At 38.8% G+C, this 18,886-nt stretch overlaps 1 long non-coding RNA gene across 1 annotated transcript in view; it reads left to right on the top strand.

The window, feature by feature from the left end:
• Positions 1–18,886, top strand: part of SNAP25-AS1 (SNAP25 antisense RNA 1) — a 195,695-nt gene that overhangs the window by 109,051 nt on the left and 67,758 nt on the right. The window contains exon 3 of the long non-coding RNA NR_040710.1: positions 6,062–6,170. This is a non-coding gene — a long non-coding RNA (SNAP25 antisense RNA 1). The remainder of the gene's footprint in view (positions 1–6,061; positions 6,171–18,886) is intronic.

Genomic DNA, 18,886 nt, shown 5'->3' with positions numbered 1-18,886 from the left:
GAGAACCAAGGATAAATCCAGTGCTAGAGCCTGGGGTCAGCAAAACCAGGGTAGGGAATGCTATGACTTGTAGGATACGTGCAGAGTCAGGCTCATGTCTGACTCACTAAATCCTTGGTTGGTTTGTGGCAAGAGCTGGCCACATAAATCTGGGCAAGTTAATCTTCAGATCTAAACTTCCATTTCTTCATCTGTATAGTGGCATATAGCATGCATTCAATACCTAGTAAATATTTTATTACATAAATATTATTCTAAGCCACAGTGGTTAATGAAACTTTTTGCCTGAAAAAAGGTAGACCTGGCTTTCTAGACAAGGCCCACCTCTAAATCCAGACTTGGAAAGCAAAGAAATGTGAAGCTATGAGATACAAAGTAGAGGCTGAAATAATGGCTCAACCAACTGGAAAGCCCATGATGTTGCTTGTATGGTTACCCATGGTCTTGCATCTTAAAGGCCAGAATCCCGGAGTTGCCTTCTTGTATATTCAGAGCCAGTCTTAAGGGAAGTAAGCAACTGCATTGAAAGAGAGAGAGAGAGAGAGGCCAGGAATCCTCCAGATTTGGAATTGGGCCATTATTAATCTGGAATTGGACCCAAGAGGGTATGCTCGGGACAGAAAGTTGGCCAGTCAATAGTAATTGACCTGAAGTCTGAAGTTGCAGCAGTGTTCTTCTAGCTTGGCAGACACTACATTCACTATGCCAGGTTCCTAGTGCCCAAATCAAACTGGAATTTCCCAAAGATAAAAGCAGCAGGAAACCTTAACCACTCAAATATTCTTTCCCTAGAACTACTTTTTTTTTTTTTTTTGGCATTATCACACTTTTACTTGTACAGTATATATACTTAGGTAAATGACCAAAATAGCCTTACAAATAGTGGGATTATGGGTGACTTTCATTTACTTCAAATTTTTTTAAATAGAGAACATACTTTTATGGAATAATCCTGTTTGTTTGTTTGTTTTTAAGTTCAGGGCTACTTGTGTAGGTTTGTTATATAGGTAAACTTGTGTCACAGAAGTTTGTTGTATAGATTACTTCATCACCCAGGTATTAAACCTAGTACCCATTAGTTATTTTTCCTGATCCTCTCCCTCCTCCCACCCTCCACCTTCCAATAGGCCCCAGTGTCTGTTATTTCCCTCTTTGTGTCCCTGTGTTCTCATCATTTAGCTCCCACTTATGAGAACATGCTGTATTTGGTTTTCTGTAGAACCACTTTCTACTCTCTTTTTACTCCTAGTACAGAGCTGTATGGTCCTCATTTTAGGAAAGGGTTCCCAGAAGCAGACCTTGAGATGAGAAATCACATGCAACTCAATTTATTGAGGAAAATTTTCGAGGTAGAACTGGGTGTAAAAAGCAGGAAAGATAAGGGAAGAAGCCAAGCAGAGATTCAGCCTCAGCCTGATCCCACGGGGGAGCTTCGGAGTGAAAATTATACCTTAGATTTGTTCAAACTCTAAGGCAAAGGAGCTGGGCTTCCATTTTCCCACACCGGTCAGTCATTGAATAAGGGCCGTGATTGAGGGCATAACATCCCAGGAACTTCTGTTTCACAGTAGACACCCCGGTGGCCTAAGGGTGGTTCTCCATAGAGAATCACAGAGATGGATAATTAGAAACATAATATGTAGGAGGTAAGAAAAGGCACACTGAAAAAGTAAAAGAAATTCAAGGTAAACCGAGTGGAACATTGACAGATATGCTACCACACTAAGGATTCTCTTAAGGACATAGAAAAGGCTAATCATTTCTGCAGATACGCAGTTTATTCTACATGTGTTAATGTTATAAAATGGAGAGGGCATAGGATTACTATTTAGAAAGTGTGAGTTTTAGTCCTGGCTTGAATTCATACAAACTTTGTGATCTTGCATGAATCACTCAACTTGCCTAGGCCCCAGTTTCTACATCTATAAAGTGGGTTTATTATTTTCCAGCTTTTTAATACAAGTTGGTGTTTTCTGCTGACTCCGCTGGCTTTTGATATGTGTTTTAAAATCTCAGACAAGATAGTAGATTTTTCAATTTTGTTTTGTAATTTTGTCAGCATTTTTCTTTTATATTTCAAGCCATAATCTTAGCCATTCAAATACAGGACTGGTTTTTATTTTATTTTTTTTTTTGAGACGGTCTCGTTCAGTCATCCAGGCTGGAGTGCAGGGGCGCTATCTCGGCTCACTGCAGGCTCCGCCTCCCGGGTTCACGCCATTCTCCTGTCTCAGCCTCCCGAGTAGCTGGGATTACAGGTGCCCGCCACTACGCCAGGCTACTTTTTTGTATTTTTAGTAGAGACGGGGTTTCACCATGTTAGCCAGGATGGTCTTGATCTCCTGACCTCGTGATCTGCCCTTCTCGTCCTCCCAAAGTGCTAGGATTACAGGCGTGAGCCACCGCGCCTGGCCAGGACTGTTCTTTTTATCACTACATAATGTCTCTTTTTATGCTTTTTGGCCTAGATCCAGTGCCATCTGACATTCATATTGCCATATCAGCTTTCTTTTGGTTAGTGATTGAATTACTTGTTTTTTTCCATTTCTTTATTTTCAACCTTTGTGGACCATTATGTTTTAAGTGTGTTTATTATAAACTACATATGGTTGGATTTTTAAATACCTAGCCTGATAATCTTGCTCTTATAAGTAAGTTGGTTCCTTTACATTTATTTTGATTACTGCTGTATTTGGACTTAGTTATTATATATTTTATGTTTACCATCCTCTTTTTTTTTGCTTATTTTACCTCTTTTCTTTCTTCCTGTTTGATTGATAGTTTTAACATTTTAACATTTTTAAGTAAAAAAAATTCTGAACAGAATTTAAGTGATTTAGTATCTCTGCTGTTCTCCCAAATAACCCAATAACTAAGTATGCTTTTATTACACACATAATATCTTTCCCATCTATGTCTTTCTTGGTGTTATTTGAATTTTATCTCATGATGTGAAAAATACCATTCTTTTTAAGAGTCAATAGTTAATTAAATTTATCATCATATTTTACGAAATTCTGTACTGTTGTTTCTGCATTCCGCTCCATTCTTCTATATCTCTTAGGGTGTTTTCTTCTGCCTGAAATACATTCTTCAGCAGTTATTTTAGTGAAGACTAGTGGGTAATAGTCTATTTTATTATTTCCATTTCATCTGGAGTGAACTCAGTTCTATTAGTTTATTTTGTTGCTGTCTTTCTTAGCATTACTTCCTTATGTGTTTTGGAATTTTATTATTGAATGGAGGTCTCTCTCTCTCTCTTTCTCTCTCTCTCTCTCTCTCTGTCTCTTTCTCTCTCCGCCATTTTATGTCTCACAGTCTTGCAGATTTATATTTAATTTCTTCTTCCACCATTTCTCAATAACATTTAGTCAAAAACCAGGTCTTATATTGGTAGCTCAAGGCTCCCAAAATGCACTGAAATTGAGGTTTTCGCACATTCAGCTACCAAGTCAGCAGTTAAGCCTAAGTTCAGGATAAAAGACTTTATTTTCTACGGCTTCCCTGCTATCCAGTTTTATAGTTCAGACGGTGGTTTTAAGAGCTTATTTCAGCCCCCTTTAATGCATGAGAGAACCTCAAACTTGTTACTAGTTCCAAGCAATGAGTTTGAAGAGTGAATCTCTTACTTCCCATGGGATACTTTTAGTTTTGCTACCCCACAGGGCCCCAGATGTCTCCATTTGCTTCTGGACGTGGAGTCAAGTGAATCTGCAAACTCAATCCCAGTCTGAGTTCACTTCCATTTCTGGGTCTCAGAACTATTGATCTCTATTTCAAGTTAGTTATGTTGTCTTAAATTCTTTGCAGGTGTCATATTTTGTATCAGTCAGATAATGCTGAATTTTAAAAAAACTCCTAAAAATGGAGTAGTTTAGTACAGCAGTTGTTAATTCTCACTAATTTTTCTGGGGTTTGGTAATGTGGGCTGGGCTCAGCTGGGCAACTGTGCTTTATTCTGCAGGAAGTGAACTGGGGGAATAGAAACTGTGGCTTCTTTATCTCCCTGCTATCCGGTCTTCTGTTAGTATCCTTGATAGCTCAGCCTGATTATAGCCAAAGGACTAGGGTGACATTGATACATACATAAATGCCAGTCTCCTGGGCACAGAGTTGAGAAGGTGACAGAAGGCAACAGAGAATATCCAGCGCATGACCCAAGGGGAGTCATGGGCAGTTGGAAAATCACTGGGAGACAAAGGCCACATGCAAACACGAAATGAAGAGGACTCACAAGTTTAAAAAAGATACGATCACCCAAGACATATTTTGGAAACTTACTTTCTTGGGCTTTTGGAAATTGGCAACTCTTGGCTCAGATGGAGGATGCTGAGGCAGAGGGGACCACGTTTCTTCAAGTGGGAAAATCCTGTCACCTTTGCAAGCTTGTCTTGCACTCAAAGAAATACAGCACCCTATGGACTTTTATGACTTAGATCTCATTAATCTAGGGTTTTATACTAAAAATAATAAAAAGGGAACAAATTTTTCCATTCAGTGGATGCTGCAGTGACAGTCAGAAAAGCTACTGAGTTCCAGCACGGCTGCTGTCAAGCCATGTGACCTTGGACAATTCACAGGGCTTTCTTAGCCTCCAGTTTCCTGCTGCAGAAAGTGAGGAGGTTGAATCAAATGCCTTCAAATCTCTAAACACTCAGATAGCTACAGCTTATAGGTGGGATAAATGGCTTGCATTTAAACATTTTTATTCAAAAACGTTTAACAGTAACTGCCTATATTCTGGTTTCCTTGCTGAATCACTTGAACTAACGGGAATCTTAAAAAATAACTTTGTATTTTCCATCTTCTCTCTTAAGTCCCTTATTTTCTTCTGTGCCCCCAAGCAAAGAAAAGCCATCTCTGACAGCTGCTCAAGGCAAACCATGGTTTGATAATGGTAAAAGGAGAAGCTATCAGCGTGCAAATTTAGATTTCCAGCATGTGTACTGATTTCCTGGCCTCATAGACATCTCAGTAATTATCTATAATTATGCATAATTTACCTACTTTCATTTTTTAAGAAATTGTCACTTTTAAGGTCAGAGTTTGACAATTTATTGGTTTGTCCTGTAGAAATAAATTGGGGGCATTTGGAGCTGGAGTCTTTAATGTGTGCAGTTGGGGCCATAGATGTGAAGCTGCCTCCTATTTATAGCTGGGTAAGCTTAATCATTGCTTTTCAGTCTAAATAGAAAGGCTCTGTTTACTGCTGCTTTTAATTGTAGCAAGCTGGTGAAAAGGCATGCAGGGCCTCTTCAGTAAAGGCAACTCAATAAAAGCATTTTGCAGTAAATTATTATTGCCATCATGAAAACCATGCACAGCATTCAAATATAAAGCAAGAAACAGCTCAGATTTTCTCTTCAATGGGAGAATCTTTGATGAACCCAGTGCACAACTTTTAAATGTTCTTAAATCATTTTTTTTCTCATTTTCTTAGAATATTAAAGCTGATAAGGGCATGTGGTTCTCCTTATTCTTCAGATTTAATTTTAAGGATAAAAATCTGAGTTCCTTGTTCAGGTCTGAGACATGTTTATATCCAAAATCATAAAAACAAAAGATTATCTGGGAAATCAAAATGTCAACCCCCTTTCTGTATGTTCCTGTTTGAAAGAGAACTATGAGGCACACTGAACCTTTATTTAGAGAGTTCCCTCTTTGATAAAGATCTTCTCAAAAGTTTTCTGCCAAATGTGCCATTTTATCCTCAAATCTCTGGAAGTTGGGTAGCATAGCATAAGGATCCAATTCTGATCTGGAACAAAATCACAAACCCAAGTGTTTGAAAGTAAGCTCCAGAAAGAGAAGCTTCGTGTGGGAAGTTAGGTATGAATGGAGGATTATACTCTCCAAACATGACTACAGCAGTAAATGCAGTCCCATATTCTCTTCCAGACCTTGACACTCTCCATCAAAAGGAAGAGTCTATTTCCCCATCTCTTGAACTTTGACAGTCTTTATAAATGCCTCAAATGAGTAGAATGCAACCAAAGGAATTTTTAGTGACTTTTGAAGTTAGGTCATAAAAAGCACTACAATTCCACTTTTTCTCTTTCAGGATGCTCACCCTTGGAGACCAGCAACAATGTGTGCAGAAACCCAGGCCATGTGGAGAGGCCCCACATACGTGTCCAACTGAGGTCCCAGCTGACAGCTGGCATTGACATGTGAGTGAGACTCTGAACGTTCCAGCTGATGACAAGTACAGTTTGAGCGAGCTATCCCTGTTGGGCCTGTCAAAACTGCAGATTTCATGAAGAAAATAAGTGTTGTTGACTTAAGCCAGTAAGTTTTGACATACTATGTTACACAGCCATAGTAGCTGGAAGAGTGTGAAACAAATACTATTCTCTTGTGTCTCATTTCTCTATAAAGTATATCTTCCCCCTTCCTTGCATAGGGATTCTTTCTCCTTTTCTCTCAGACAGTTCTGCTATTATCCCTGCTAGTGATGCTATTACTACTTCAAATACTATTGTTTTTATATCTGTTGCTACTACTGAAAATAAGATAATTTTATAACTAATGTTGAGTATGCATCTACTATATAGATTTACATCCTTAACATGTATTAAATCACGTAATTCTTACATCAAAAGCATGGAATTGTATCACCCCAAGATTCATATGTTGAAGTCCTCACCTTTAGTATTCACAATGTGACCTGTTTGGAGATATGGTCTTTAAAGATGTGAAATGAAGCCATTAAAGTAGTCCTTAATCCAATATGACTGGTGTCCTTATAAGAAGAGGAGATAGGACACAGACACACACAGAAGCAAGATCAGGCGAAGATATAGAGAAAAGATGGTCATCTACGAGCCAAGGAGAAAGGTCCTCAGAATAAATCAACCCTGTCGACACCTTGATTTTGGCCTTCTAGCTTTCCAAATATGAGAAAACAAATTTCTGTTGTTTAAGCCACAAAGTCTGTGGTACTTTGTTATGGAAAACCTAGAAAACTAATACAACTTTATGAGTAAAGTACTATTAAACTTTAGATAAGGAATCCACAAAAGAGAAAGCTGACACATTGTAAAGGTAAGTAACTTGCCCGAAGTTATACAGTTTTATTTCCTTTCAGAAGTAAGAAAACAAGGGCTCAATAACTTGACTTCCTGAAGTTTCACAGTCAGTTTAAAGAAAGAGTCAAAACTAAAAAAATCAAACTCTACCCTATATTTACACCATTTAGTATCAGAGTCCTCAGAAATATGTCACTTAGTCCTGTTAGCTAAGTTAAGACAGGATGGCAGCATTACTGAGCACCAACTACTTACATAGCACTTACAACCTCAGTTTTTCTTCCTAATAGAACCTCAATTTTGTTCAAGTGCCCTGTCTTCATGTAGTCCATGTGACTCCAAGGAATACCCTCAGCTTCAGGAGTAACTCTGATTGGGTTAAGGGTTAGCTCATACCCCCTTGTCTGTGATTCGTTTATAAAAAGTCCTGTGACTCAGTTCTGGCCAATGATATGTGAAGGGAGGTTCGTGGAAGACTTCTTGGAAAGTTCTGCCTTGCTCTAAAGAACAAGCTATTCTCCCGCTCTCTCCCCAGATTTGAATGAAAGTGGATGAATCCACAATTGTCCTCTGGTGGGAACCAGCCTTAAAAATGAAGTCAACCATGTGTATAGCAAAGACAGGAAATGTAGAGAACCTAAGTCCTAGGTAATAACACTGGGGTACTGGATCAACCAGCTTTTATTAAATTTCCTGTTAAATGAGCTTATATATTCCCTCATTTTAAAAAGCCAGTTTAGCGTGTACTGAAATCACTGAAAGTTAATGGCTGCAAAAGCTTCCCATTAGAGTTGACCCTTGAACAAGGTTGGGGTTAGGAGTGTAGACATCCTGTGCAGCCAAAAATCCACGTCTAACTTTTGACTCCTCCAAAACCTAACTAGTAGCAGCCAACTCTGGACCAGAAGCCTTCCTGATAACATAAACAGCTAATTATCACATATTTTATATATTATATATATATTATACACTGTATTCTAAAGTAACTGTATTCTAAAGTAACCTAGAGAAAAGGAAATGTTATTAAGAAAATCATTACTATTCATTAAGAAGTGAATCATCATAAAGGCCTTCATCCTCTTCTCACTTTGAGTAGGATGAGGAGGAAGAGGAGGGGGTGGTCTTGCTGTCTCAGGGGTGGCAGAGGTAGAAGAGGTGGAGGAGGTGGAAAGGGAGGCAAGAGGGACAGGTGCTTTTATTGAAAAAAGTCCACATGTATGTGACCCAAACAGTTCAAATCCATGTTGTTCGAGGGTCAACTGTAGTTCCAAATTTCTACAATGGAGCAAATGATCTCTACCCTCTGTTCCCATAGCAGCAATAGCCAAGATTGGCTTTATCCCTTCTAGCTCTGTCTTCTTTAGGCTATAAATGGCCGAATGGCTTCCTTCTCACATGAAGGATCATAGGATGAACTCTGTGCAATCTCCCCAAACCAGTCCTGAAATAGAAAATGTTGGAATCTCAGCATTAAGGTGGTCCATTCTGTACAACACAGCTTAAATGAGGTTATTTCACAGCAACCCTTGCAGCAGAAAGAGAACACGTGGCATATTCCTGGTTTCTTCAGTGAGTCATAGGGCTGGAAAAGAGATCAGGTTCTTCTTTTCTCTTGTCCAAGATTGTTCTTTGCTTATATTTCTGAGATTTACTGAATGACGGTGAAAGTGAAATTAGTTGGTGGTCTTATCCAGGTAATTATATTTCTAAACTACCAGGAGAAATAGGCTTTGAGGCATCATTTATATAATGCAAGCTTTTAAATACCAAATATTTATATAGAGCCTTGGTTCTTATGTTTTTAAAGTTTTTCTCTTAATTAATATAATTTTTACCTATTATCAACTCTGGGAGATAACTGTAGCAGGTCTTGTCAATTGCATTATACAAATAATTTTAGACAAGAGGAGTTATTTACTTAAGTTGATTGAATCAAAACCTGAATCTAAAACTCCTGACCCAACGTCCAGTGCTCTTTCCAATTATTTCTCCACTTGACCTCTTTCATATATGAAATTCACTTTAGCCTTAACATTTTTTTAAAATAAACTTTTTGAGATAATTGTAGATTCACATGAATTTATAAAAAATGATACAAAGGAATCTTGTATACCAATTACCCAGTGTCCTCCAGTGGTGACATCTTACAACACTGTAGTGTAATATCACAACAAGGATATTGATATTGATGCAGCCAGGATACAGAACATTTCCATCACCACAAGGATCATTCATGCTATACTTTTATAGTCAAACCAACTTCCCTTCCACCCTTGCCTGGTCCTTAACCCCTGGCAACTAGCAATCTGTTTTTCATTTCTTTAAGTTTGTCATTTTAAGAATGCTATATAAAGAAAGGCTTATCGTGTGAAATCTTCGGGGATTGGCTTTTCTTTTCACTCAGTATAATTCCCTGGAGATTCATTCAGATTATTACATGTATCAATAACTCCTTCCATTGTCTTGCTGAGTAATATTTCATTGTATGGAATGGTTTGTTTAACTATGCATCATCTGAAGAACATCTGGGTGCCTTGTAGTTTTGTGCTATTATGAATAAATCTGCTATAAGTATTCATGTACAGGTTTTTGTGGGAACATAAATTTTTATTTATCTGAGATAAATGCTCAGGAGAGCAATTGCTGGGCCATATAGCAAGTGCATTTTTTTTTCTTTTTTTGAGAACAAGTCTCACAGTGTTGCCCAGGCTGGACTGCAGTGGCATGATCTTGGCTCACTGCAACCTCCACCTCCCACGTTCAAGCGATTCTCCTGCCTCAGCCTCCTGAGTAGCTGGGATTACAGGCACCCACCACCACGTCCAGTTAATTTATTGCATTTTTAGTAGAGATGGGGTTTCACCATGTTGGCCAGGCTGGTCTTGAACTCCTGACCTTGTGATCTGCCCGCCTCGGCCTCCCAAAGTGCTGGGATTACAGGCATGAGAACCCAGCCTCACAGGTGCATGTTTATTCCTTTTTTAAGAAACTGTGGGACTGTTTCCAGAATAGCCACACCACTTTATATTCCCAGCAGCAATATTTGAGTGATATGATATCTCTGCATCCTTTCCAATATTTGGTTTTGTTAATTCTTTTTTAATTTTAGCTATTCTGATAGATGTGTAATGATATCTCAATGTGGTTTTAATTTGCTTTTTCCAAGTGGCTAATGTTGTTGAACTTCTTTTTATGTGTTTAATTTCCATCAATATAACATCTTCAGTGAAATATCTCTTTCTTTTGCCTATTTTCTAATTGAATTGTTTGTTTACTGTTTCATTTAAGAGCTTTTTATATATCCTAGGTACTAGTCCTTTGACATGTATGTGGTTTGCAAATATTTTCTTCTAGTTTGTACCTTGTCTTTTTATCTCCTTAATAGGTTCTTTCACAGAGCAAAATTTTCTAACTTTGGTGGAGTTCACTTTTTCAATTTTTCTTTTTATGAATCACATTTTTGGTGTCTAAGAACCCTTTGCCTAGTTTTATATACCAAAGAGTTTTTCTTGTGTTTTTTTTTTTCTAAAGGTTTTATAGGTTTACAAGTTGTAGTAGCCCATTTTCATACTGCTATGAAAAAATACCCAAGACTGGGTGATTTATAAAGAAAAAAGAGGTTTAATAGACTCATCAGTTCCGCATGGCTAGGGAGGCCTCACAATCATAGTGGAAGACGAAGGAGGAGCAAAGGCATGTCTTACATGGTGGCAGGCAAAAGACCATGTGCAGGGGAGCTGCCCTTTATAAAACCATCAGATCTTGTGAGACTTATTCACTATCATGAGAACAGCATGGAAAAACCCACCCCCATAATTCAATTACCTCCCACTGGGTCCCTCCCACAACACCTGGCAATTATGGAAGCTACAATTCAAGGTGAGATTTGGGTGGTGACACAGCCAAACCATATCACAAGTGGATAATAAATTTTAGTTAATTTTTGTATAAGATGTGAAACTTAGAGTTCATTTTATAGTTTATGGATGTTTAATTGTGCCATCACCTTTTGTTGAAAACATCTGTAGTGATATTCCCTGTTTCATTCCTGATACCGACCTTTATTCTTTTTATCTGCTTTGATGTTTGTAAATATCATTGATGTTTTCAAGGAACCAGCTCTTTATTGATTTTAAGTTTTCAATTTTGTTGATTTTTTTGCTCTTATTTTTGTCATGCCCTCCCTTCTCTTTGAGGTGGGAGGTTAGAATTTTTATTTGAGGATTTTCTCCTTTTGCAATGTATGCACTTAGTGATATACGTTTTACTCTCAGTACTACTTTAGCTGTGTCCTACACATGTTTTAATTGACACAATAATTATACATATTTATGCAGTATAGTATGATATTTTGACACCTATATACAATGTGTAATGATCAAATCAAGGTAATTAACATACCTATTTTCTCAAACATTTATCATTTCTTTGTGTTAGGAATGTTTAAAATTCTTACTTCTAGTTATTTTGAAATATAAAATATTGCTAACTATAGTAACCTTAGAGTGCTGAAAAACACTAGAACTTATTTACCTTACCTAGCTGTAATTTTGTATCTGTTAACCAACCTCTCCCTATTTCCTCCTTCCCCCTTCCCTTACCAGCCTCTAGTAACCACTGTTTTACTCTCTACTTCCATACCTCACCTTTTTTAGCTTCCACACATAAGTGAGAACATGTGGTATTTCACTTAACATAATGTCCTCCAGGCTCATCCATGTTGCCACAAATGGCAGGATTTTATTTTTTATATGGCTGAATAGTATCCCATTGCATACATATATATCACATTTTCTTTATCCATTCATCTTTTTTTTTTGTTACCAAACATTCATTTCCATTCATCTGTTGATGAATACTTAGGTTGATCTGTATCTTGGCCATTGTGAATAAATGAACATTGGAGTTCATTTATAAATAAATAATTTATTTATTTATTTATAAATAATGAACATAGAAGTGCACATATCTCTTTGACATACTGATATCCTTTCCTTGAAATATATATTCAGTAGTGGAATTGCTGTATCATATGATAGTTCTATTTTTAGTTTTTTGAGAAAACTCCCTACTGTTTCTCATAATGTCTGTACTAATTTATATTCCCACCAACAGTGTACAAGAGTTCCCCTTTTCTCTACATCTTTGCCAACATTTGCTATTTTTTATCTTTTTTTTATAATTAGCCATCTTATGGATCAAAGACTTAAATCTAAGCCTTGAAACTATAAAAATTTTAGAGGGTAACATCCCCAAAACTCTTCTAGGCATTGGCTTAGGCAAAGAGTTCATGACCAAGAACCCAAAAGCAAATGCAACAAAAACAAAGATAAACAGATGGGACTTAATTAAACTAAAAAGCTCTTGCACAGCAAAAGAAATAATCCACAGAGTTAACAGACAACCCACAAAGTGGGAGAAAATATTCACAAACTATGCATCCAACAAAGGACTAATATCCATAATCTACAAGGAACTCAAACAAATCAGCAAGAACAAACAAATAATCCCATCAAAAAGTGGGCTAAAGACATGAATAGACAATTCTCAAAAGAAGATACACAAATGGCCAATAAACATATGAGAAAATGCTCAACATCACTAATTATCAGGGAAATGCAAATTAAAACCAAAATGTGATACCACCTTACTTCTGCTGGTGGGAATGTAAACTAGTCCAACCACTGTGGAAAACTGTATGGAGACTCCTTAAAGAACTAAAAGTAGAACTGCCATTTGATCCAGCAATCCCACTACTAGATCTACTCAGATGAAAAGAAATCATTGTATGAAAAGTATACATGTTTTTATAGCAGCACACACATATTTATAGAAGCACAATTTGCAATTGCAAAATATGGAACCAGCCTAAAGGACCATTGACCAATGAGTGGATAAAGAAAATGTGGTATATATATACCATGGAATACTACTCAGCCATAAAAAGGAATGAAATAATGGCATTCACAGCAACCTGGATGAAGTTGGAGCCCATTTTTCTAAGTGAAGTAACTCAGGAATGGAAAACTAAACCTTATATGTTCTCACTTATAAATGGGAGCTAAGCTATGAGGATGCAAAGGTGTAAGAATGATATAATGAACTCTGGGGACTCAGGGGTGGTACTACACATTGAGTACAGTGTACACTGCTCAGGTGATGGGTACACCAAAATATCAGAAATCACCACAAAAGAACTTATTCATGTAACCAAATACCACCTGCTCCCCCCAAACTATTGAAATAATAAAAAAGAAAAAAGAAAAAAATAATTAGCTATCGTAACTGGGATGACATGATATCTCACTGTGGTTTTGATTTGCATTTTCCTGATGATCAGTGGTGTTGAGCATTCTTTCTTATACTTGTTGGCCATTTGTGTGTCTCCTTTTGAGAAATGTCTATTCAGACCATTTGTCCATTATAAAAATTGGATGATGATGATGATGATGACGACGATGGTTTGCTGTTGAGTTACTTGTATATTTTGGTTGTTAGTCCCTTGTCAGATGAATACTTTGCAAATATTTTCTCTCATTCTTCAGGTTGTCTCTTTACTCTGTTGATTGTTTTCTTTGCTGTGCAGAAGCTTTTTAGTTTGATATAATCCTATTTGCCTATTTTTACTTTTGTGGTTTGTGCTATTGAGGTCTTATTTATAAAATCTTTGCCCAGGCCAATGTCCTGAAGCATTTCCCTTGTGTTTTTTTCTAGTAGTTTTATAATTTCTTGTCTTACATTTAGGTCTTTAATTTGTTTTGAGTTGATCTTTGTATATGGTGAGAGATAGGATCTAGTTTTATTATTCTGTGTGTGGATATTCAGTTTTCCCAGCACTCTTTATTGAGTAGACTGTCCTTTCTCTCTTACACTCAAAAGAGAAAGACAGTATCTCTTTACAGGCCACACCAAGACACCTAAGTCTGTTCTAGAAATACATCAGCTGCTCCTTCAAGGTAGATTTTAAAGCCTTGGGGAAAGTTGGGAATATTTATTGTTAAATTCTAGAATCCCTTTTTCCATAAGAGGAGATGTCTCTTCACCCATATTTCCAAAAACTATTTTCTATTTTTTTTTTTTTTTTTTGGTCTTAGGTCAACTCTGTCTCTGGATTGAGAGGATTCAGGATGAGGCTTTATTTAAGATTTTTCTGTTTCTAATCACATCCAGACAACCAGCCAATCGTATGGTTTGACTCAGTGAGAAAGATGAGCCTAACTAATCCTTGTACTCACATTGGTGGTGGTGGCTGGTGAGGGTCCTGGGCAAGCAAGCATTTTTTGAGGGACCCCCTTGCTTTGGGCACTGTTCCCACCTTGCTTTAGGCACTGTTCCGAGTACATTATTTTAGTCGAGGTTTATGACAATTCCCTGACATCACTACTATCATTATCCTCAGTTTATAAACAAGAAAATGGAAGCTCAGTAAAGGGAAGTATTTGTCAACAGTTACTCAAGATCCATATCAGTGTCACCTCTTGAACCCTATCAGCCCTTGCTAATTACAAGAGAACATCATATTCTTTTCTCTTCTTTTTTGAAATTTAAGATAAAGATAATAAGATGACATCCACCTAATATCCATTATGAGGAATTGATCATTGTTGACATTTTATCTCACTTGTTTAAAATATTTTAAAGAAAATGTTAAATGCCTTTGACCCTCACTTTCAACCCCATCCTATTGCCACTCTCATTTCCATTCCTGCCCCCAAGAGTAAATTCTTCATTTTTTTTATTTTCATACTTTTAGCAGAGACGGGGTTTCACCATGTTGGCCAGCCTGGTCTTGAACTCCTGATCTCCTCAGGTGATCTGCCCGCTTTGGCCTCCCAAAGTGCTGCGATTACAGGCGTGAGCCACCACACCTGACCCCTCTTTTTCTCATGGCATTTTGTGAAGGCTGGGTATGGGCTTTCTCTAAGTTGGTAAAAGACATCAAGAGTTCTCTCTCATTTACATTCAAGGGAGAAAGGCAGTATCTCTTTTCAGGCAACACCAAGACACCTAACTTACAGCAAAGAATAAATCTTTACTATTACTAAAGTAAGAATAAATCTTTACTATAAGTTTGCTGCTTTTTTCTTGCAGTCCATTTTTCTGTGCCTCTCAAAGACCTTTCTTGAGGCAGAAGGCTTCGTTCTCCTTACTGCTTCTCCTCCCATGGGTTTTGCGAATCCTAGTTTTTAGAAAATGCCTCCTATCTTAGCCTGCTCCCTTTGTGCTTTGGCCCCCATGGTTTGTGATGTTGCTGCCAAGGTGTGAGATCAAGATGGAGTGGTGGCCTTGGTAGAGCTGAAGCGACCCATCATCACTTTGGCTGGGACAGTTGTTTGCTCTCAACTCATGCTGATAATTGTTAAATTCCAAAGACAACTAGGAACATCCCTTTGCATTTTTTTTTTTCCTGAGCTATAGGACAACTTAATACAATGCCATCTAGTGTTCCAACCTCTGCCAGCAAGAGAACTGAGGCATCATCCAAAATACAGTAAACAGTCTTAAAAAAAGAAAAAAAGATGTTTTGACTAAAATAACATAAATCTGAAACTTGAGTTTTTTTTTTTCTTTTTAATCACCATCACAGTGAAGGATATGTTGTAGGTGGTGCCCTACTCATATCCTCCTTCCCTTTTATCCTCTTTGTCTAACCGCTGCAGGGCACAACGGTCCAGCTAAGCTAGCTGCATCTGCTTTTCTTTTTTTATTTTTTTGTCAAGGTCTTGCTCTGACCTCTTAAGCCACATTGCCCAGAGTGGAGGGCTGAAATTACAGGGAATTTCTGTGCTCTGAGAGCAGCCTCAGTAAATGACTGATACGGATTGTATTAGTGTGTTCGTGCATTGAGAAATATCTGAGACTGGGTAATTTGTAAAGAAAAGAGGTTTAATGGATTCACAGTTCTGCGGGCTGTACAGCAAGCATAATGGCTTCTGCTTCTGAGGACACCTCAGGAAGTTTCCAATCACGGTGGAAGAGGAAGGAGGTATAAGATGTCTCACACGGCAGGAGTAGGAGCAAGAGAAAGTTGGAGTGAGGGAGGTGCTATATACTTTTAAACAACTAGATCTCATTAGAACTCACTCATTATCATGGGAGCAGCACCACGGGGATGCTAAGCCATTCATGAGGAATCCACCACTGTGATCCCATCACATCCCACCAGGATCCAGGATCCATCTCCATCATCGGGGATTGCAATTCAATGTGAGTTTTGGGCAGGGACCCAGATCCAAACCATATCATGGATTGATGTATAAACATCCTGGCGTCCTCCTTTAGGTAGGATGATGATGAGGCCTGTGTCCTGCACCAGCTTCCAGAGTTCTCCAGTGGAATTATACTCCAGCTGCCCAGAGCGCCAGCCGACTTGGCTTTGCACCCTTTACTGGCTGCTGCTTCTCTGTGTCTCCATTTTTCTCTCCCCTACCGGTATTTCCTTTCCTTTCCAAGTAAACCATTTGCTTTGGAATCTTTGTCTCAGACTTTCCTAAACTAAGAAGACCTCTCTGTCGTAGATTGCAAAAATGGCCACAAACCTTCCGCCTCTCTACATCCTTATACTGTAAAGTTACAGTTCCTTTCATTAAGAAGTGGGCTCACCTTGGGTCTTGCTTTGGCCAGTAGAGTATGGAGGAAGTGATGATATGCCAGTTCCAAGTCTAGGCTTCAAGGGATCTTAAGCATTTCTCCTTTTTCTCAGAGACTTGTGAGCAAGAATATGGTTGTCGTTTAAAGCAACTAAGTTTTGGGTGATTTGTCATGCAGCAGGACTGATACAACTCCCACCCCAAGCACATTTTTGATATCCTCTTGTGTGTTCATTCCCTTGAATAAGAGTATTGTTTTCTCTAAAGAAAAGCATCTTTTCAGGCACAGAGAAGTTGATTGACCTTCTCAGATTTGCTCAGGAGAATCTGGGTGCCAGTTGTTGGCAGTATCCTGGTATATTCCTTAGCCCCAGGGCCTCTATGCTGACTCACCTTGTCTGGGTTTGCTTGCTAGCTGCTGCATTTTCTCTCTGCTACAGTGGCCAGCACAGCTGCTGTTTTTTTCCAAAGCCCTCTTTCACAGAGCTGTTAGGTAGGAGGCCACTGCGTTTCCATGATTGTGCGGATGACATATGTGTCTGACAGGGATTCTAGCACCTCAAAGCTGGCCTGGGATGGAGAGCTCACCAAAAATACTGCAGTTGCTGGATGCCAGGGAATTTATTGAGCTTTGGAGCCAGCAGGATGCAGAGTAAACAGCATAGAAATAGAGTGAGTCAGGATGCTTAATCCTGACTTTGCCTCTTGGCTAATTGTATGGCCTTGAGTGGGACCCTTGACCTGCATTTCTTTAATTGAGACAAGGTAGCCTCTGAAGTCCCTTTCAGCTCTAAAATGCTAGAATTCAAGGACCGAATAGGGCTTTATAAAAATGAAATGCCAGAAAGCATGGAGTTAGTTGTCTAATTAGAGGAAGTTCTGATAGGCTAGAACACTGGTTCTCAAAGTGGGGTCCCTAAACCTGCAGCATCGCAACATCACCTAGGAACTTGTTAGATCACAGCTCACTGCAGCCTCGAACTTCTCAGCTGAAGGGATCTTCCTCCCATGTAGATGGGACAACAGGCTCACACCACAATGCCTGGCTAATTTTTAAAAAGTTTTTGTAGAGATGGGGTCTCACTATATTGCCCAGGCTGGTCTCAAACTCCTGGCCTCGAGTGATACTCCTGCCTCGGCTTACCAAAGCACTGGGATTACAGGCATGAGCCACCATGCTGGGCCCAGAACTTGTTAGAAATGCAAATTTTCAGGCTCCACTCCAGACCCTCTGAAGCACTCTCTCAGCAGGTACTCATGTTCACATGAGAAAGAGGTAACCAGCTCTATTAGCAAAGGTAGATAATTAATTAACCAACTTATTCATGGATAACCTATTTCTGTGTGCAAGAAACTGTTTTATTCTTGGGGTGAAAGTAAAGGTGAAGGTGCACAGCTATTGTAAGAGAGTGTGAGAGTAGGGCCCAGCAATTTGTGTATTAACGAGCTCTTCAGGTGATTTGAATACAGGTTCAAGTTTGAGACTTACTGATCTAAAGCTGTGTTATTCCAAGTGTGGCTCACATCATCGGCATCATCTGGGAGCTGCCCGAAGAAGCAAAAGCTTAGCACTACCTCTTTAGAACTCCTGTGCCAGAATCTCCATTTAACAAGATTCCCAGTGATTTGAATGCACATAACAGCTGAGAAATCCTGGGTGCAGCCTCCATTCTTGGAGAGTGTAATCCAATAGAAAGGGGTTGGGGGGAGTGGCAGCAGGAGAGCAGAAATTTACATTTCTAAAAAGCTCCCAAACACGGCTGATGTTGCAGGTTCAGGGACCACTTTGAGTAACAAGGCTCTAGATTTTAGCCCAGGCTTAGAATCTTGAATATGGAAGGGTTTCAACCCAGAAGTTGGTTTCAGCTACACTGTACAGATGTGCAGGTTGTGCACTGCCAAATTCCAGAAGGCAACATTTGCATAGACTGAGTCAAGAACCTGAACCCCAAAGCTAAGAGGCAGGGGCTAGCTAAAGAGTGGGTTTTAGAGAGTGTTAGAATTGGGTTTGGATCCTAATCCTGCCACTTACTTAGTTGACCTTGGGAAATATATTTAACTCTGAGCCTCGATTTCCTCATCTGTAAAATGGAGATGAACATACCTGTGTCCCAATATAAGATACTCAACAGTAAGCACCCAGTAGAAGCCCAGATATTTGCAAATAGCTATTCTCTCTGGACTTTCCTTTCAACCAAGGGAAGAGTAGTTGTATAGGTTCCTTTCCTCCTTCAGTCTCATCCTGGCCAGTGGCCTAATCCCCTGGTC

Source organism: Homo sapiens, chromosome 20, assembly GCF_000001405.40.
Source record: "Homo sapiens chromosome 20, GRCh38.p14 Primary Assembly".
Classification (NCBI taxonomy): domain Eukaryota; kingdom Metazoa; phylum Chordata; class Mammalia; order Primates; family Hominidae; genus Homo; species Homo sapiens.
This window is presented reverse-complemented; position numbering and strand designations above follow the sequence as displayed.